The 22,287-nt window shown below is 37.9% G+C and overlaps 1 protein-coding gene across 19 annotated transcripts in view; it reads right to left on the reverse strand.

Annotated features, from left to right (window-relative positions):
• IQCM (IQ motif containing M) overlaps positions 1-22,287 on the reverse strand; it is a 464,135-nt gene that overhangs the window by 363,329 nt on the left and 78,519 nt on the right. For 15 of the 19 annotated variants that reach the window (NM_001378180.1, XM_017008904.3, NM_001363507.2 and 12 more), the window contains 2 exons: positions 20,339-20,421; positions 18,207-18,471 (listed from right to left, as the gene is read on the reverse strand). In NM_001378180.1, the coding sequence (NP_001365109.1) occupies positions 18,207-18,235 (29 nt within the window). In that variant the 5' untranslated portion in view covers positions 18,236-18,471; positions 20,339-20,421. Of the gene's footprint in view, positions 1-658; positions 901-18,206; positions 18,472-20,338; positions 20,422-22,287 lie in introns of those variants that run through there. The other 4 variants (NM_001378186.1, NM_001378185.1, NM_001378187.1 and 1 more) reach the window with 2 other exon arrangements.

Raw genomic sequence — 22,287 nt, forward strand, 5'->3', positions numbered from 1 at the left:
AGTGAAACCACAGAAAACAAAACCATGGATAAGGAGAGACTACTGTCATGGGATCCTTGGGGCATCACTTCACCAGCCAGAAACCTCTGTGGCTGGTGGTGCCTTTGCCTGAGTTTTGCTGGGGCCTGCTGTGCTAAGTCCACCTGCTTGGCCTGACAGGCTGTGCTCAGCTCACATTACTGGCCCAGATCCCATGCCTGCCAAGGGTGAGCCAGGCATGGAGTGGCAAGGGGTGCATGAATTAGCGAGCACAGGGTTCAGCCACTGCATACAGTCAGTAATGCTGGCTGTGGAGGGGTGGCCAGCTCCCAGCACCAACTCCTGCAAGGCTGCAGCTATACCAGGCATACTGCAAGCAGCTTCCACTGCTTCCACCAGGGAACATAGTAACCCCTGGAATCTTGGAGATGCCAGGAATCACAGAGCCCCAAAGAGAGTGTCACAGTCCTGGCTTGGGGAGCTCCTAGGTCTGGGCTCCCTGAAGGACCGCTGCTCTTCTCTCCTTTCCTCTTCTCTCCTTCTCATGGCCTGCAACACGGTGAGCAAGGGGCGTGTTTCAGCCCTGTTTGTGTTACAGCTCTTTCAGTCCTGCCATCTGGTGGGTCCGGAGTTCTTGTCCCATGTCCAGGAAGAATGAGGTATGTGGACAACTGGAGGGTGAGGTGAAGAGGTGCTTTATTGAGCAACAGTACAGCTCTCAGGAGACCCGAAGTGGGTAGCTTCTTTCTGCAGGCAGGTCGGCCAGACATTTGCTCACCTCTCAGCTCCGCAGATTCCTCTCCACAGGCAGGTCATCCCAACATCAATGTCTCTGCAGCCCTCAGGGGAGATGAGACCAGTAGTGGGTGGCTCTTATCTGCAGATAGGTCTTCCTGTCCTCTGTCCAAGTCTGGCTGAGTCCTGGGGAGAAAGTGCTTACTGATTGGTCTATGGGTGGGCCATGGGCGGACCCAGAAAAAGCACCATAGGTTCTCACTCTAGTCCACAGAACTGGCAGCCCAGCCCCAGGCTTCAGGCCATCCCCAGCTCGAAGGTGAGGCTTCACTGGGATCTGCCCCTTTCTGCCCAGGAGCCTGTCTGCCTCCTGCTGCCATCAACCTGCCATCTACAGCACCCACAGCACCCAAGCTGTTCATGCCAAGGGGTACCTCCAGTCCCACACCGAGCTGCCTTCAGCAACCCCCTTGGCCTCCGTCCCATGCTTGTTGGTGCCCAAAGTTTGGAGGAGGCCAAGACGGCAGGAGGCTGGCACGTCAGCACAGCCCTGAGCATGTGCACACTTGGCTGGGTCGTGACAGTGCCGGGGCTTGGCCACAACTTTGCTCCAAAATTGGAGTGAGGACTGAGAGTTGGGAGAGGCCAGCCAGCAGGAACAGGCATTTCTGAGCCTGTGGGGGCAGGTGGAGCCTCCCAGGCCCCCAAGAGAGCAGAGATGTCCAGGTCCGCTGTTGCAGCTAGGCAGCTGCAGCTGCGCCAAAGAAGGCAAGATCCTCCAACGCGGAAGAGGGCGGGGCTCACACCTGTTTTCTGTTCCCTGCGGCTCCATGGAGCACGTTGCCCCAGCCAAGCCTGCCCGGCTGCAGCCGGCATCTTTGCAGCAGCCGCTCCAGATGGGCTGCTGCTGCCATTGCTATTGTATGTCTAAAGCTGAACAATAGTTCATACCCATCAAACCTGTTCTTCACAAAGACTTCCCCAGTTTGGTAAATGACAACCCCATCCACAGTACATAAAGGCAAAAGCTTGGAGTCATCTTCCTCTCACATCCAAGTAACCAATTCATCAGAAAATCCTTTAGGTTCTTTGGAAAGGAGAGAAGGGCTGGAAATTGAGTTAATAATCAATCATGCCTACGTGATGAAGCCTCCACAAAAATCCCTGAACTATGGGAGTTTGGAGAGCTTCCAGGTTGGCAAGCACACTATGTGCCAGGAGGATGGCACATCCCAACTTTACAGCAACAGCTCCTGAGCTCAGGACCCATCCAGACCTCACTCTATGTATCTCTTCACCTGGCTGTTCATTTACATCTTTTATTATATCCTTTATCAACAAATTGGTAAACTTAGGTAAGGTGTTTCCCTGCATTCTGTGAGCTGAGAAAATTCATCAAACTGAGTTGGGAGTTGTGGAAACCCCAATTTATAGCCAGTTGTTGAGAAATTCTAGATGCTCATACTTGAGAATAGCATCTGAAGTGACGGGCAGTTTGAGGACTAAGCCCTCAACCTATGGGATCTGATGCTACCTCCAGGTACATAGTGTCAGATTTGAATTGAATTGGAAGACACCAAGCTGGTGTCCACTGGAGAACTGCTTGGTGTGTGAGGAGAAATTCCCATACGTTTTGGTGACCAGAGGACACAGAATTATTCTGTGTTGTGGTTAGCAGAGGATAGAAGAAACACACTTTGTTTTTCCCTTTATAGCTGAGAAATCCGTTTCAAAATTAGTAAAATATAATTCCATTATTTTAACTTCTTTTATATAAATATACATCAATTTCAGCACACTATTATCCCACAAAGAAAACTAAAATCTTAATAAGTTCAGCCTCAAATGTTTAAAGTTAACTTTGCTTGATTTACTAATTAGCATTTAATAATAAGAATTGAGCCTGAAAAAGGTTAAAGTAATACAAATGTTAATGGGTGAGGTTGACCAACTTACACAGAGTATGGCAAAAATAATTATGGGTCCCTTGGCTACATATAAATTACTGATACAGAAAGTATTTCATGGCATAGACTTTTAATGTCCTAACGGGCCTAACACTGCTAGGAGGCAATGCATGTGCCACTCAATAAAAGACTTAATTACTTTAATAACCGGTTTATGGTTGTCCCTTTCCTAAACCCTCCAAAAGGTACGTAAACCTCATGCTATTGGCAAATCCCCGGTGCCTACAAGTAGTTAGTAACATGGTGGCCTCTGATGATAGGAATTTGTATCCATGGGGAGTATATTTATGCCCTTTCTCTTAGTTCAGACAAAGAAGACTGGCTAGACAGAGAGGTTCATGGCTTTGGTGAGAGTAAAAGGCCCTCCTGCCTACAACTGGAAGGGTAAGTTTAATCCTGGGAGAGGATCAACAAACCATGGAATCACTTATTTAAAGCCATATTCTCTAATCAACTTCCACCATAATAAAATAAACATTTGATCTTCATTTGCTCCATTCCTGTGTCTTACTTCTCAATTCAAGTGGTTCCAAACTCAGAAGGAAAAAGGTGGTGCTACCATAACTCTGATTCCTACCCTCCCCTCAAAAACCCTGAAATATGTATTTTTTTAAGCAAGAGAGAAGAAAAGTAATGTCTGCTAAACTGAAAGTTCCATGAGGGCACAGACCATGGTACACAGTATCTGGTTCAAGTAGGAGTTTAATATAGCTGCTGAATAAATACATGAATGAAGAGACAAAAGTTGAAACAATTAGCCTATTGATCACACTTCTATACTCCTTTTGACAAGGAAATTATTTTAGAAAAATGATGTCTAGAATTGAAATGTACTTTCAGAAGTATACTGTATTAGTTTTATATGCCCATTAAAACAAATTACCAGAAGCTTGTGACTTAAAACGACGATTTCCTCACAGTTCTGGAGGCCAGCAGTCCAGAATCAAGATCCTGGCAGGGCTGCTCTCCTTCATAGCCTCTAGGGACAAATCCATCCCTTGCCTCTTCCAGCTTCTGGCGACTGCCAGACTGGTGTGGTTACATCACATGAATCCTGCCTCCATGGTCTCTTTGTGTTTTCCTCTTTTGTCTGTAATCTCCCTTTGCCTCTCTTTTATAAGGACACTTGTGACAGTATTTATAGCCAACCTAGATAATCCAAGATAGTCTCCCCACCCAAAAATTCTTATATTAATCACATCAGCAAAGACCTTTTTCCCAAATAAAACATTTACAGGTTCTAGGAATTATCATCTGATATCTTTGGGTGGCCATTATTCAGCCTACTATTTACACCTGAAGTGAAATTTTTCCAAGAATGATTGGATAAGAAAGGTGTTTCCAGGCCAGGCATGGTGGCTCATGCCTGTAATCCCAGCACTTTGGGAGGCCGAGGTGGGCAGATCACCTGAGGTCAGGAGTTCGAGACCAGCCTGGCCAACACGGTGAAATCCCATCTCTACTAAAAATACAAAATTAGCTGGGTGTGGTGGCACATGCCTGTAATCCCAGCTACTCGGGAGGCTGAGGCAGGAGAATTACTTGAACCCAGGAGGTGGAGGTTGCAGTGACCCAAGACTGCATCATTGCACTCTAGCCTGGGCAACAGGAACAAAAGTCAGTCTTAAAAAAAAAAAAAAGAAAAAAGAAAAAAGAAAGGTGTTTCCATTAGACCTCCAGTGACTACCAACAGAAAACTAAATTATCTGAAACAAATATAAGAAACTACCAAGTGATAAAGCTGGGATTTGAGCCTGGGAAGTTGAAATCCCATGCTCTGAGACACTAAACCATCTATCTGCCTTCTCAAAAGGGAGGAATTCACTGATTCACATAAACTGGAAAGTCCAGCTAAAGTTTATCTTCAGCAATGCTTGATTCAGAGATATAAACAATGTCATCAGTACTTCATCTCCCTCCACCATTCAGCTCTTTCTTCCATGTTGGCTTTATTCCAGAATTTCACACTGTCTTCTGTGACCTCCAAGCTCACATCATCCTTGTTGGATTAAGCCCCATCACTCAACCCATCACTGTGGCCAAGAGAATAATCTAATACCATTGGCTATGCCTGAATCACAAGCCCAAAGCTGACAGGTGACATAACAGTCCTACCCAAACTGCATGAACTCCAAGTAGAGGAGTATTTTTCCAAATCAGACTGAAATCTTGTTACCAGTTCTAAGGTTAAAGAATACCGAGAAGCCAAAACCAACACATGTTCACTGAGGAGGGTCTGCACTACAAATAGAAAACCATTTCTAGAAAGCTACTGCTCTCATTTCACTTCCTCAGAAGAGGTGGTATTATTTACACCCACATAAAGCTGACAGAATGACCCTGGGCCACTGTAAAACATTTGACTAACCTCTTAATTCTCTGCCTGTGTTCTTTGTCAAGTACAAAACATTGAACAAACATGTTCTAATGTTCCAAAACATGTGCTTAATCAGAAAACCTCTGCAAGTCACCACTCTATTCTAAGATTTTTTTTATTCCTGAATTTCCCCTCTGGGCCAATAATATCAGAGTTAGCAGAAGAAAAATGGTAAAAAAGAATGTGTTTCAATTGCTTCTAAATCCTTATAATGTTTTAATATCTTTTCTATTTATAACATACTATTAATTCTATGTATTCATAGTTTTATTCAATTATATTAATTCATATTTAAGATGCTATTAACTTCATTAAAAGTTAGTGAACTTTGTGGCTACTTCACTGCAGGAAACCAAGTTGCTCAGAAGCAACAAGTCTCCTGTCTTACTCTGAGTCCTCATCTTGCATCTTTCTATTTCGGAGCTTACCAGGTCAGTATAAAAAGAGAAAAAGTGTAAAGAAGAAAGGAGCATGTTCAAGACATTTGTCATTCAGATATGAATTATAATTCTATTCATGTGCTAATTTAAGAATTCTGTTTAGGTTCTTTCTGCAAGAGCATTCAAAAGGGCAAGCAAAAGAAAATTCCTGACAAGAAATGAGAAGAAATACAGCAATCTAAACCAGGAAGAAATGAAGAAAAGTAGAAGCATTTGCAAAATTCTCCGTGTGATAATCTCTCAAGAGATTATCTCAAACTTATTCTCTCATTTAGAAATTTCACAATAAGGATCTGTTTTTATGCATGGAGAGATATTAGTATGTTTCAAATTCCAAGACTTCAAATCAAATTATTCTGTGACACCAAACTCAGCATAATTTTCCATCTCATTGAAAACAATCTCTAGTTTCCACTTTTTTTATAAATTGTTATGGCTCCTAGTCTTAAATTCTTCCGAGTAATTTTGTAGGAATGAGTAAAAACATTTTAGCATGTTTGCTGCATGTTTGTATGTATAATCGGTCATCTGTTTCTGTAGATTCAGCATCTACTGATTCAACTAATGGCAGGTTGAAAATATTTTTTTAAAATACACAATAAAAAATAATACAATTTAAAAAACAATACAACCACTATTTACATGGGATTTACACTGTATTAGGTATCATAAGTAATCTCAATATGATTTAAAGAATACAAGAGTATGTGCTTAAGTTATATGCAAATACGCCATTTTCATTTTTTTCTTTTATTTATATTTTTTATTTCAATAGCTTTAGGGCTACAAGTGGTTTTTGGTTGCTTAATTGAACTGTGTAGTGGTGAAGTCTTGAATTTTAGTGTACCCATCACCCAAATAGTGTACATGGTAATCCATAGGTAGTTTTTCATTCTTTAGACCTCGCCCACCCTCCTCCCTTCTGAGTCTCCAGTGTCCATTATACCACTCTATATGCCTTTGTGCAGCCTTAGCTTAGCTCAGGCTTATAAGTGAGAACATGCAGTATTTTATTTTCTATTCCTGAGTTACTTCACTTAAGATAGTGTCCTTCCATTCCACCTAAGTTGCTGCAAAAGACATTATTCTGTTCTTTTATATGGCTGAGTAATATTTCATGGTATAAATATACCACATTTTCTTTATCCACTCATCAGTTGATGGGCACTTAGGTTGATTCCATATCTTCGCAATTGTGAATTGTGCTATGATAAACACGTGCATGTAGGTGTCTTCTTTATAAAATGACTTCTTTTCCTTTGCGTAGATACCCAGTAGTGAAATTGCTGGGTTGAATGGTAGATCTACTTTTAGTTCTTTGAGAAATCACTGTACTATTTTCCATAAAGGTTGTACCAGTTGACATTTCCACCAGCAGCACATAAGCATTCCCTTTTCACCACATCTGTGCCAACATCTATTGTTTTTTGACTTTTTAATAATGGCCATTCTGGCTATGGTAATGTGGTACCTCATTGTGGTTTTAATTTGCATTTCCCTGATGATTAGTGATATGGAGAATTCTTCATATGTTTTTTGACCATTTGTATATCTCCTTTTGCGAAATGTTTGTTCATGTGGTTTACCAACTTTTAAATGGGATTATTTGGTCTTCTCCTTGCTGATTTGTTTGAGTTTCTTGTAGATTCTGGATATTAGCCCTTTGTCAGATGCATGGTTTGCAAACATTTTCTCCCATTCTGTAGTTTATCTGTTTACTCTGTTGAATATTTCCTTTTCAGGACAGCAGTTTTTTAGTTTAATTGGGTCCCATTAATTTATTTTTGTTTTTGTTGAGTTTTCTTTTGAGAATTTACTCATAAATTATTTGCCTAGGCCAATGTCCAGAAAAATTTTTCCTAGGTTTCCTTCTAGAATTTCATGGTTTGGGTCTCATATTTAAGTCTTTAATCTATCTTAATTTTTGCATATGGCAAGTGATAGAGATCCAGTTTCATTCTTCTACATGTGGGTATCCAATTTTCCTAGCACCATTTATTGAACAGGGTGTCCTTTCTCCAGTGTATGCTTTCATCTGCTTTGTCAAAGATCAGTTGGTTATAAAGCATTTGGCTTTGTTTCTGGGTCCTCTATTCTGTTCTATTGACTTGTGTGTCTACTTTTACATCAGTACCATGCTGTTTTTGTTACTATAGCTTTATGGTATTATTTCAAATAGGGTAATGTGATATCTCCAGAATTTTTCTTTTTGCTTAGGATTGCTTTGTCTATTTGAGCTCTTATTTGGTTCCATATGAATTTTAGGACTGTTTTCTCTAATTCTGTGGGAAAAAAAAGATATTAGTAATTTTATCAGAATTGCATTGAGTCTGTGGATTGTTTTGAGTAGTATGGTCATTTCCATGACATTGTTTCTTTCAATCCATGAGCATGAGATGTTTTTCTATTTATTTCTGTCATTTATGACTTCTTTCATCAGTGTTTTATAGTTCTTGTAGAGATCTTTCACCTCCTTGGTTAAGTATATTGCTAGGTATCTTTTCTTGTAGTTATTGTAAAAGGGACTGAGTTCTTTATTTGATTCTCAGGTTGGTCATTGTTGGTGTATAGCAGTGCTACCGATTTGTGTATATTGTTTTAGTAAACTGAGACTAAACAGAATTCATTGCTCAAATCTAGGAGTCTTTTGGAGGAGTCTTTAGGGTTTTCTACATATAAGATCATATCATCAGCAAACAGAATTAGTTTTACTTCCTCTTTTCTAATTTGGATGCGTCTTATTTCTTTCTCTTGCCTGATTGCTCTGCCCAGGACCTCCAGTATTATGTTGAATAGAAGTAGTGTAAGCAGGTACTCCTCTCTTGTTCTAGTACTTAGGAGAAATGTTTTCAACCTTTCATTGTTCAGCATGTTATTGGCTGTGGGTCTATCATATATGGCTTTTATTATTTTGAGGTATATTCTTTATATTCTTAGTTTGTTGAGGGTTTTTATTGTAAAGGGACGCTGCATTTTTTCAAATGCTTTTTCAGCATCTATTGAGATAATCATATGGTTTTTGTTTTTAAGTCTGTTTATGTGGTGAATCACACTTATTGACTTGCACATATTGAACCATCCCTGCACCCCTGGGATGAAACCCTCTTGATCATGGTGAATTATCTTTCTGATGCACTGTTGGATTCAGTTTGCTAGTGTTTTGTTGAGGATTTTTGCATCTATGTTCATCAGACATATCAGTCTGTAGTTTTGTTGTTGTTGTTATTTCCTTTCCTGGCTTTGGTACCAGGGTGATACTGGCTTCATAGAATGAGTTAGGGTGGATTTCCTCCTTTTTGATATTTTGGAATAGTTTCAGTAGGATTGATACCAATTCTACTTTGGATGTCTGGTAGAATTTGTCTATGAATCTGGGCCTGTGCTTTTTTTTTTCCTTCCTGGGAGATTTTTTTTAAATTACTGATTAAATTTCATTGCTTGTTACTGGTCTGTTCAGGATTTCTATTTCTTCTTGATTCAAGCTAGGAGAATTGTATATTTCCAAGCATTTATCTGTTTCCTATGGATTTTCTAGTTTGTGTGCATAGAGGTGTTCATAGTAGTCTCAAATGCTTGTATTTCTGTACTACAGCATTTTAAATAAGGGACTTGAGCATCTGCCAATTTTGGAATCTGCAGAGTTCATAGAACCAGTTCCCCACAGATACCAAGGAATGATCATATACCTGAAATCATTAAAATATAAATTAGGTTTCATAAACATTGTTGATCAAAAAACTATTTGGTAAGTTGTCACCACTGTAGGCAAAGGAAAAATCACAGCACAAAGTCATTTTTTTCTGATAGATTTCTCCAGTGCCTTCTAGCTATGTAGTCATTTTAAAGCATTATTACAATTTATTATGCTCTCATTTTATATATAAAGGAAAAGATTTGTGATTTGGAGACCAAGGAACACATAAACACTCTCTCTTTCTCTCTCTCTCTGACACACATACACGTACACTCATACAAATATGTAGAGACTCTCCCACACCCATAAACACATATACACAATCACAAACACACACATACACACTCAAACACACTCTCACAACTCACACACTCATACATATTTTTAACTTCTTCCAGACTGGGTAAGGAACAACTCCATATCAACCCTAAATATATGTGCATGACATGGATGTAATGAAATCTTGTTGAGCTTAATTAGAGCCTGTTTTCAAATTTAAATAACTCAAAATAGACGTAAATATTTTTAATTCCTGAGAGAATGCAAATTATATATTATATAGTACTACATGGACAAGACAATACTGTATTATATGCTAACTAACATTAATATTTTATATATATTACAAAAACATTGATTTTACATGAAATTTCTAATTTCTAATAGTCAATCATTTTAGTAATCTAATAATTTAAAATTTAATAATTTTTAATAATTAAGATTCATAAATTATCAGCAGAATGACAATACAAACTGGTTAAGCAGTACTGTAGAATATCTATACACAGAAAGAGAAGATAATTTCATATTTTTCCTGACTGCTGTATCAAAACTATGGGCATGTATTTACAGGCAAGCACAAAGAAGATATTTACAAAGGATATTTGATACTATAATTGTTACAGGGTATTCTTTAAGTTGATATCCTTGGATCAAATTCAAGGAATCTTTGGCCTATTCTCACATAAGATATTCAGTTTATGGAAGATAATGCAACTGAATTTGTCTGGGCTGTCTGAGCAGAAACTACATACTCTAAACACGCAGTACACACTTTTCTTTCTAATCTCACAGACTTTAATCAAGTTCTGGGATTAATGCCACTGATATCTTAGATCATGCTTCCATTCACCCTGAAGTGAATATTGGGAATATGCTTTAAAAATAGATCCAAAGTACAGAGCTAATACATGCCTTTTGAGATAAAAACTTTGAAAAATGAATTGCAATTTTAATTCAAATATAAACTCAAAGATCAGCATTTCAGAGCTGTCTAGTGAGGCACATGCAAAGGTTCCTAGTAGCATGTCTCTGACCTCAGCAGAGTCTATAATGAGATTTTCAGGAGGATTTCTGTCCTCCTTGTGCTCCTGATAAAATCTTCACTTCCCTCTTACATTGTCCACCCCCAACACTTTGGCCTCATGATTACAAAGTGCTAAAGAGAAAAATCCCCCAAAAGAGACTATCATTAGAAAGGATTACTCACATATTCTAAGTGACCCTCAGAACTAGTCTTCTCACTCTTCTTACTGCTGACCTCAATCTCCATAGACCTGCCATCTTTCATCCTTCCTCGAACCAGCTCCCAAACTCTTCATTTGCCCTAAGAAACCCAAGAGCTTCTATTTGCTAAATTAATATTCTTGCTATCTTCTGTACATGTTCCCCCTATCTTCTTGTTCTACTAATCCTATTTTCCTAAGGAGACAGCTTTTTCAGCAGCTCTCTCAACGAATAGCTATTCCTTTATTCTACCCTTCACATACCCTAGGGCTTTAGGCAAAGACAGTTTCTTCCCTGATGCTCAGTGACACTTCCCAACCATTTCTCTTCCCTCTAAAAGAAAGAAAGAAAGAAAGAAAGAAAGAAAGAAAGAAAGAAAGAAAGAAAGAAAGAAAGAAAGAAAGAAAAGAAAGAAAGAAAGAATTTCATTTTTTCATAGCAAACTATATTTTCACTTTCACATTTTTCCAAATTTGATTATTTCACCCTTCTCCTTGCTCCTCAAAACCCCAACACTTTCGGTCCCATCCTACCCTCAAGTGAATAACTCACTTCTAACTTCATTGAAAAAAAAATTGAAGTAATCTCACCACCTGCTCTATCAATCCACCTGCATCTGCACTCATGTCCCTGCCTTTCTCTTGGGACAACAGATAAGCTGTCCTTGCTCCTTTCTAATGCATTACTCCTTAATTGAAATATGACTAATATATTTCCCACTCCCCTGATTTGGCTCCTGTTCATTTTCTGCTTCCTTTGCTGGATACTCCTTTTCTTGCCCTCTAAGTGTTAGAAATTCTCAGGGCTCAGTTCTTGGATTTTTTTTCTACCTACATTTATTTCCTCAATGATCTTATCTAAGTCTATGACTGTAAATAATATCTATACCTGTGTTGTCCAATATGATAGCCAATTACCATATGTAGCTATGAGCACTTGAAATGTGGCTAGTCCAATTTAAGCATCACTATAAGTAAAATATACACTGGATTTTGAAGATTTAATATGAAAAATATATAATATCTCAATAATTTTACATATATATATGTAAAAATTACTGAGATACTATATATCTTTTTTTTTCCTCTGTCTCCCAGCTAGAGTGCAGTGGTGCAATCTCGGCTCACTGCAGCCTCCGCCTCCCAGGTAGCTGGGATTACAGGTGCCTGCCATCAAGCCTGGCTAATTTTTGTATTTTTCAGTAGAGATGGCATTTCACCATGTTAGCCAGGCTGATCTCCTGCCCTCAAGTGATCTGTCCGCCTCGGCCTCCCAAAGTGCTGGGATTACAGGTGTGAGTCACCACGCCTGGCTCCAAATATATTATAGAAATTAATTTTACCTGTTTCTTTTTACTGTTTAAAGTGGCCACTAGAAAATTTTTTATTATATGTGGCTCATGTGGCATGTCTACTGGACAATATTATCTATAAATTAATGACTCCAACCTTTCCCATGAGTCTGCACTTACTTATAATGGACTACCTATTTGATGCTTTGATTTGCATGTCTAATTGCCTCCTCAAACTTAAAATATCCATATCCCAATTCTTGGTTTCTGCCCATTTAAAACGCATCTCTCTATTCTCCATCTCAGAAAGTAGCAGTTCTCATCTTCCAGTTCATCAGGACTAAAGCCTAAGAGTCATCCTTCATGCTGTCTTTCCCTTACACTCCACACCTAATCTTTCAGCAAGTACTGACAATTCTGCCATCAAAATATTTTTATGACAGTATTTTTAAAGTGATATTAGAAATGAAGGAGGAGAAAATAAAACAAGCAAGAAGGGAAAACTAATGTGAAATTTTTTTCTGAGTTGACCATCATTATAAGATACTGGTTGCTTAACTGTCCGAAACCTTCTGAGAAGCTTTATAAAAGGTTATTGAGACCCTTCTGCCCAGGGACAGAAGGGAGGAAACATTTATCCACTGGCTCTCATCCCCCCTTCCTGGTTGTTTATGTGTCAGCTGAAGCTGGTCCTATGAATGTCTCAAGCCAGGAAGGAGTCCAGGAAGTATGGAACAAGGACCAGTAACCCTAGCAGTGGCTGCAGTGCCTGGAATAAGAGATGAGCCCAAGAGGATTTCAGGTGATGAATGAGAAGTGTTTGACACGGCCTGCATGCAGTGGTGTGCTGCAGCAAGCTCAGACCTGCTCAGGAGAGCTGACTGTGTACATCTCTTCCCAACTCCTGTAATCAGTGGTACCACTATTGGTAGTTTGAAATTGGCTATGTTAAGAGTATTTACACCATGGAAATCAGTAAAAACTACAAACCAGGACTTCCTCCCTCCCCTCACCAGAGCCAGTTGTTAAACATGTGCTAGCACGGCACTGACTAAAAGGTTCTGTTCTTATACAGTCTCAGCTCACTCCTCTCCAGCTGATTCTCAGAACTGCAATCACATTAACTCTTTTTTCACTTATTTGAAAGTTCTTCCATGTGCCCCACACCTTGGGTCATTGAAAATGGTTTTGCAATTGCCTCAAACTTCCCACTCTTTGAGTAATTCCTATGCATCTTTTATATCTTAGCTCAAATATCATTTCCTCTGGGAAGTCTTGCAGACACACAGTCCATGTCCAATTTACTTGTGATGTACTCTCAATCTGTATATATGTGATTGTTAATTGATATCTGTTTCCCTAGCTAGACCACAGGTTCCACGAGGACACAATTTATGTCCATTTTTTCTCCTTTGTATTCTCTGCACTGAGCTTTGTATATTTACTGAATATCTGAACTAAGTTTTTTAATCAACACATATTAAAAGTACTATTACCACTGTTTAATTATTTTAAGAATATTGAAAAGAAGTCCTCCTACTTGAAAATGTGGGGAGCCACATTGGGAGGAGAACACATAACACTTTTATGGGAATCACTTATGTGCATTTTATGTGCATCACTTCCAGCTATAATCCACTGAGACAAATCTATCACATAGCCCCATCTATTTTCCAAGTACCAAGGAAGAAAAGGATACAAGTTTGATGAGCATCTATCCCGTCTCTGCTACAGTCTGTTCTTTAGGACACTAAATATTCATTCCTTCTTGTTCCTTTACAGAACACACCTTTCCTCTCCCCAAAGATGACAACCCAAAGTTCCCCCTAGGCACTACATCCAGCTCAGAGAGCAGGACCTCCAGCTGCTGTGCAGTTTTATCCAACAAGTTCAGATGTGGCTCCTTACGGTCCAGTAATATGAGACCCAAGTACAGAAGATATCTCCATCTTCCCCAAAGCATATAGCATACAGTAATAGAGCAGGTATAGGATAACCTCAGTAAAAACTCCATTAGTGAAAGGGAAGAAAGTAAACATAATAGTCACCAGTCCAAAGATGTTATAGAATTCTATTGGAAAGTCACTGAGAAGGCCCCCTAACCTGGAGGTGGGGAAGTTCCTTGAATAGACAATGATTTTGTCCTGGGACGCGCTCTCTTCATTTTTTCAGTGGCCTCTTGATCTACTCTCTGAGAAGCCTTTTACTTGCTCCTTGGACACATCTTGCTATTACCCTCCTTGGAGGTTGTACGGCTTGTGTCAACCACTTCCTGATAAATCTAGGTTATCTTACTTTTTGAACATTCAATTACATCAAGGTTTATGGTTTCTCTGGAAATGAAATTCTCTAAAAAAATCTGTTAGGCTTTTTAATCTATTTGCTTCCAGTTAATTCTGCCTGACAATAACCACACTCAAAGTCTTTTTTTGTTGTTTTTTTTTTTGTTGTTTTTTTTACCTTTTTTGAAATGGAGTCTCACTCTGTTGCCAGGCTGGAGTGCAGTGGCACGATCTCAGCTCACTGCAACCTCCGCTTCCCAGGTTCAAGCGATTCTCCTGCCTCAGCCTCCCAAATAGCTAGGATTACAGGAGCGTATCACCATGCCCAGCTAATTTTTATATTTTTAGCAGAGACAGGGTTTCACCATGCTGGCCAGGATGCAGTCATTTTTTTTAATATATGGTTCTAAAATCTCCTTTGCATCTTTGTTTCCTTTACCCCTTGGATTAGTCTCTCAATAATGACTGCCATGAGGGTATCTGAGATAACGGGCTGTGTGGTAAAAGATGTACTTTTAATATGCTTTTTGCTGCAATGTTAAGTATTAGTAGATATTTGCTCAAAACCAAGACCCTAAGTACCTAGTATCTCTCTATGCCCATTCATTTCTAATTGTAGACTAGCCAGGACTTTTCTCAGTTTATCTCATGTTTATAATAATTCCCAAAGCAAGCCAGAAACCAGCAATATGTCTTAATAATGAATTTCCCAACTTCTTTACCTGAAGCTACAAAGCTCAGTAGGTACATGGTCTAGATTCCAACTTATTGGTGGTGGCAGTTTTTACCATTATATAAGATGCATCTCCAACCTTCTAATTTGCTATACCTGGCTTCATGCTGCCACTTAGTGTAAACCACTAACCCACTACCACAGCTCTTCCCTGTGTCTTATGCTTTACTTTATTGTTGACCAAGTTTAAATAACTCTACCTTTCTAATGTGTGTAAAATCTCTCCCAACACTATCCCCAGTGTTACTACCTTCATTTAAGTTGTCTTTCCCCGTGTGAATTACTATCTCCTTATTGGTCTCTATGCATCTAAAATCCATCATACCCCATCTCTACAGCCAGTAAACATGCTAAAATGCAAATATTATCACTGCAACTTCTCTTTAAAACATTTAAATTGTTCTCATAACTTTTAGGTTAAAATTCAGTGTTGTTCAGTATCTAGTCTGTTATCTGTAATCACTCCCCAATCCTCATGTTCTAGTCATGTAAAATCATTTTAATTCTGTCAAAAACATCATAATCACTTTCTCAGAGATCCACTGTCAGGTAGATGCTAGGCCCTCTAGCTAGATAGAATTTTCTTTCTCTTTTGAGTTAACACTTATTTATCTTTCAAAATTTACCAAAGACTTTAAATTTCCTGAGAATCTATTCCTGACACCTAAATCTGAATCAGATATCCTCCTATTCACTTTAAAGCAGTAGAGTTACTTTCTATTACAGTATGAGTCATACTATAATTGTCTATTTATTGTCCTTCAATGCCACTGCAAAAACTATATACATCAAATTTGAATTTCTTGAAGGGAAGCAGCATATCTTTTGTCTCTCATACCTCACATGTTAAATTAAACAAATGTTAGGTGAAGAAATGCATGAGCCCCACAATTTCAGTACGGTAGTGATCCCTCACATCTATCTTCAATCTTCACGTACCTCTCAAGTGCTAGGTCTCCTTTTCCAACTTCCTAATGGCTATCTCCACATGTGTGTCTACTTAACAGGTCTAAAACTGAATTCGTTATTTTCCCCCATCCCTTTCCCCACTTGTCCAAAATCTGCTCCTCCCCTTATTATGCTTCAAATGTTTGTATGTCTCCAATATTCATGTTGGAACCTAAGATCCAATGTGATAGTATTAAGAGATAGGACCTTTGAGGAAGTGATTAAGTTATGAGGGCTTCACCCTCATAAAGGAAATTAATGTCCTAATAAGAGAGGTTTCAGAGAGCTGCTAGCCCTTTTCCCTTCCATCCCTTCCACCATGTGAAGACACAGCTTTTGTCCCATCGAGAGGACAGAGCATTCAAGGTGCCATCTTGGAAGCAGAGACTGGACCCTCACAAAACCACATGCTAGTTAGTACCTTGATCTTGGATTTCCCGCTTCCATAACTATGAGAAATAAATTTAGTCTGTTTATAAATTATTCAGGCATTTTGTTATAGCAGCAAGAACAGACTGAGATAGTCTCTAAATTTCTACCCCATCCTAAGGATTTTTGTCCAGTTTCTCAGTCTAGAAGCCTCAATATCTTATCATCTTCATTTTCATTACACATCAGTTGATTTTTCAAAAACCAGTTAATTCATCCTAAAATAATCCACTAATTCTGAATTTATCAAAATGTATTAAAAAGAACACTAGTCTCAAGGACATTAACTGGTATAATGTGGAAAAAAAATGGGGGTTCTTTGGCCAAATGAACTGGGGGTAGCAAGGTTAAAAACAGTAAACAGATTTCTTTTCTGCAGTATTTCCTAGACCTTTCAATATATTGATAATCAATACGAATCTCCAATAAGGAATATAACGTGTATTTTATTTAAATGTTTCTAACCAAAGAACCCTTTGTCAGGTCACTGAATCACTCAGGACTAACATTCTGAAGAGCATGCTTTGAGAAATGCTGATGGAACAGCCCTCCTCCACACTTTATGCTTCCCTACTGCCCTAATTTAGGCCCTGTCATCTCTCACCTGGACAGCCTCCTCACTTAGCTCTCTGTCATCACTCTCTCTACAGTTTCTGCTGCCAGTTTTATTTTTCTAACAGAAAGATCTGATTATACCTCACCTCTTCCCCCACCTACAGCTTTGAAATCATCATGTCTTTCCATTAAACATAAGTTCAAATTCTAGGTCTACTATTATATTCCCTTCAAACTCTAGCCCACCCATCTTCCAAAATTTATTTCCTACCACATCTCTCCCTTCCCAAAATATATCATATTCTTACATCCTTCAGAGCTTTAATACATTTTGTTCCTGCGACTCAGAATGGCATCTTCTGTTTCCATCCTACTTCTCCTGAAAACCCAGTTCTAAAGAGATCTCTTCTGATAAATTTTCAGGAGAAATCTCTTCTGGCCTTTGGTTGGTTGCTCCTCAGTGTTTCCATAATGCTTCACACTCACCCTCTTACAGCAACTGTTACACTGTATAGTAAGAAATTACCCTGTGTTTATCCTCACCATTACTCTCTGAGCCTTTTAATTGCTGTTTCTCCAGCTCTTAACTTAGTGCCTGGCACAGAGCAGTCATTCTTTGTTGAATAGGAAAAATACAAATGAGTGTATGAATAAATAAACATCTTTAGAAATAACGTAAGAGGAAAAAAATAAGATGAGGCTGTGAAAGCTATACTAGAAATGTATTATAAGCAGTCATGTATTCAAGCCATTATTTTCAGGAAAACAATATCACTTTGCTTAAAGCGATCTCTAATTTACACCTACCATGTTACTGATAGAGGATAAACCTTTACAATTTCTTTTAAGGGAAAACTCTATAGCTTCCAAAAATCTTTTTAGTGTTTTGAGGAAACACGCTCACGAGTAAGTTGCCTATCCTATTGATCCTGCTCAAAAACAGAATTCAGGGCTATCGTCCATGGCTGCTTTAGCATCTGTGAAATAAACAGTCTCTGAGGATTTTCACTAGGAAGAAGATCACTTCTGGAAGACATGGCTAACAAGTTTTGTTCCCCTAAATTTCTCTTTCCCTTTAGAATGGGTTCATCTCAATTTCTGGTGGTGCCCAGAGATTAGCAGCTCTAATAATCAGGCCTCCCTACCTTTCATTGTTAAGATTTAAAGTTCAGGGAATTATTTGAAAAAGAAAATTCCATTACAGGCACATAAGAAACAAATAGTTTTGTCCGTGAGTTTGCTGAATTTCTTCACTCCACCAAAAACTTACCTTTTGTAATTAGATCTATGGGCCTGCATCTTTCTCTTCTACTAAAAATGTGTGGTTCCTTGAAGGAGATTCGTTGTGGGGGTTCCTGAAGATGCTCGCTTTTGGAAAGCTCCTTGGGAAAGCAAATCCTTCTGAGTGCGGCCCGATGTTCTTGCACCACATCACGTGTTACCTTTTTGTCAATCTCCAAAGGTATGTATTTGCCAGATTTCGGTTTTTGGTGTTTCTTTCTAAAAACATTTATAGAAGTACCTTGAACTTTATTCTATGAATAAAACAAAAATAGATTTTGGCAAAATTTAATTTTAGTATGCATTATTTAATAAAGTTATATATTTTATTAATAAGTTCATGAAATTGCACCTCTAGTACATACATTTTACAAAGTACCTTGCTATATAAGACATTTACTCTAATGTAAATTACAAATGACAGTAACCAGCTAAATCAGATGTTATTCTATGTCACTCTCTAAAAGTCCTTCACAAGCATAAGGATTATATTCCCCTTTGAAAGAAATGTAAATTTTAAAATAGCAACTTTCTCCCCAAAGTGATATTTTTAATTACAGGTTTCAAGTCTACTGTAAAATAGGAGTTTTTCAAATAGACATGTAAGAATTAAATTATTTTCAACCATCTTTGAAGAACTTTCAGATGTCCATAAAATGCTAACATCCCCCAAATCTCTTCCTTTGCTGAACCAGAAATAACTGAACATACATGGAGGTAACCTCTCAAAAAGAGCATACTGGTAATACAACATACATTTCATATCCTTTAATCATAATTGCTTCTTTATTTTGACCACCTTGAACAACAGAGAAATAATACAGCTCCAGGTCTCTGACAGGTAATTATCCAAATAGCATAACTGTTCTACACACAGAGAGAGCTATAGTTCTTCCCTATTCCCCCAACAACACACACACACCCAAAAAAAAGGTTTAGAAAAATTCAAATTGTTGCTGACTCAAAAGGTCAATAAGGAGGTTTTAGTGTGCTAGTATTACATTTTTCCAGGCAACCGAAGATGGAACATTGGACTGTTATTATTAGATAAAAATTTAAACAGGTCAAGTTTCTAAGGCACATCTGTCTAACTCTGAAGACCGTGAAACATTCATCCCATGTTCCCACCAGTGAAATTAATATAATTGAAAATCATTTTAAATTGGTTAGAGGAAAAATTAGTTAAGCAATGCGTACAATGTTGATTACATGATTAAAAGTATGTATGGCCAGTCTTGGCATAAAGGACCATTCAAAAGAAACATAAGTAAAAATTAGAATCCTCCTCCCCATCTGCAAGAAATATTGAAAAATATTTAAAAGCTTACTTAAAATTTTGTTTAAAAAAATTTTTAAGTATTTAGCAGGGGACTAGGATCATTTGACACACAGTAAACCATCCGAAGTTACCCTCCCCTCACCTGTCTTCCCAAAGGCCCAACGGTCACAATAGTTGCCCCTTCCCCAAATTTGCTACCTCCTCTATAGATGCTCTCCTCCAAAATGTCACCCTGTGCTGACCCTCCTCTGTCTCTTTGTTATCCCTTTCCCTTTCACTCCTTCTTCTCACTTTCGAAATATATGCCATTCAGCAAATATTTATTGAGCCAGGAACAATCATTATTGCTAGAGATACAGCATTCAAAAAATATTCTATGCCCTCAAGGATCTATCAGACCAGCAAACGGACAATTTTAATGCAAAAAGATACATGGAATATAATGTATCATGCTAAGGTAATCATGCTAAGGGTATAGAAGAGACTCATCTCACAATTTATTTTCTAGTTTAGCTTCGACTAAACAGCATTTAAAGGGATATTTATGTGACATGATAAATCCAATTATTTATGTTAAAATTCTTCAAAAAAAATTTAAATTGTATTAAATGTACAAATTAAACACATTTGTATAATTAAAATTCATACAACTAAAAAATCTTATTTTAAAATGTCATTTGAAATCAATTTTTATAGCTAGTGAGCATTTCATTTTTCTCTTCAATTCTATTCTCTTTTCTATTTATTCTATCATATCTTAGGGTTTATGCAATCCTTTGGGAGAATCCTTGTAGTATGCAAAAATTTTAAAATGTAACATTAGATAAATGCAAAGGACTAACCTCATTTATTTTCTCATAATGTTGGGCAATGAGAGTTTTTGCTTCTTGAAAAAAGTCTTGCTTGGTGATCTCTAATGTAGGACCTAATATACAAACAGAGAAACATTTTTTAAGCAGTTAATGTGAAAGTAAATTTTACAAGTTGACATTATAAAAGGAAGCAAAAGAAATACAATGATCTCTTAACATAATATTTTGCTTTTAAGAAGAAATATAAGGTTGTAATGGTCAGGTGATAAGATAGGTTATCCTAAGTTACTTCAGTCCAGAAAAAACAAAGAAAATATACAAAACAGAAACATCCTTCAGTTCTGAAAGTCCTTTAAATGTTACTGTATAGAAGATATAACAACATGTTTTGGGCACAAAAGTTATTAACAAGTCTGTGTTTTCCATACTTGATGACTAATGTATGAAGCTGTACATTTCCTCAAGAGTATTTACCTTCCAACTTGTTGATAAAATTATAACTGTAAAATAAAATACCTCAATAAATTTATTAAATAGAAGCAGCACTGAAATTCAAAAACACATGTCTATGGATTTTTCTAAGTTTCTTAATTTCTTTCGACTTTTTTTTTTTTTTTTGTGAGACAGAGTCTCCCTCTGTTGCCCAATCTGGAGTACAGTTGCACAATTCTGGCTCTGTGCAACCTCTGCTTTCCAGGCTCAAGCAATCCTCCCACCTCAGCCTTCTGAGTATCTGGGATTACAGGCGTGCACCACCACATCCAGCTAATTTTTGTACTTATTGTAGAGATGGGGTTTCACCATGCTGCCCAGGCTGGTCTCGAACTCCAGGGCTCAAGCAATCTACCTGCCTTGGCCTCCCAAAGTGCTGGGATTACAGGTGTGACCGAAAGCACCCAGCCTAAGTTTCTTAATTTCTTTTAACCAGGGTTATGTATACAATTCTACAGCATGTAGACTACATCATTCTCATTCAGCCTTGTCTAAGTTTTCCTCTTTACATATTTTCTTTATTATTAGCTGATTGTGTGCTTGCTTCAGCAGCACAAATACTAAAAATGGAATTGTATCAGTGGATCCTGACACTTATAAGTGTTTCTTGGCTTCCTCCTCTTAACTCAAACTCAGCAAAATTTAAATATATTACCTATTCAAAGTCTGGCCAGTGGGCTCTCTGTTTTTATAACTCTATCTCTATTAGTACTCTTACTATGAAGGTTTTCTCTACTCTTCACCCACTCAAATTTTAAGCAATTAAAAACTCAATCTTCATGTGAATCAAAACTATAATGAGATACCACTACACTCACCAAAACGGCTAAAATTGAAAAGACTGATAACACCAAGTGTTGATGAGGCTGTAGAGCTACTGGAACCCTCAAGTATTGCTGGTGGAAATGTAAAATAGCATAATCAGTTTGGAAAAGGTATGGCAATCTCTTTTAAAGCTAAATATACACCCATCCTACAACCCAGCAATTCCAATCCTAGGTATTTACCAGAGAGAATGAAAATGTATGTTTACAAAAGATTTGTACAAAAATGTTTACAGTAGCTTTACTCATAATAATTCTAAATTGAAAACAGCCCAGATATGTAACAACAGAAGAGTTTGTAAACTGTGGTTATATGTGTACAATAAACTACTACTTAGCAATAAAAAGAGGTACTGACATGTACACCACTACGGATAAATTTCAAAAATATTATGCCAAGTTAAAGCAGACTTACACAAAAAAGCACATGCTATATGGTTCCACTTATACAAAGTTCTAGAACAGGTAAAACTAATCTATGGTGGAAAAAACAAAACAGTTATTATTCTGTGGGAAGGTATGATGGATTAACTGAGAAGAGACATGAAGGAAATTTCTGGAGTGATGGGAATGTTCTGTATTTTGATAGGAATTTGGATTATACAGGCATATATTATCATTAGTGTACTCAATGTACACCTAAGATTTGTGCATTTCATTGTA

This window comes from Homo sapiens, chromosome 4, assembly GCF_000001405.40.
Source record: "Homo sapiens chromosome 4, GRCh38.p14 Primary Assembly".
NCBI lineage: Eukaryota > Metazoa > Chordata > Mammalia > Primates > Hominidae > Homo > Homo sapiens.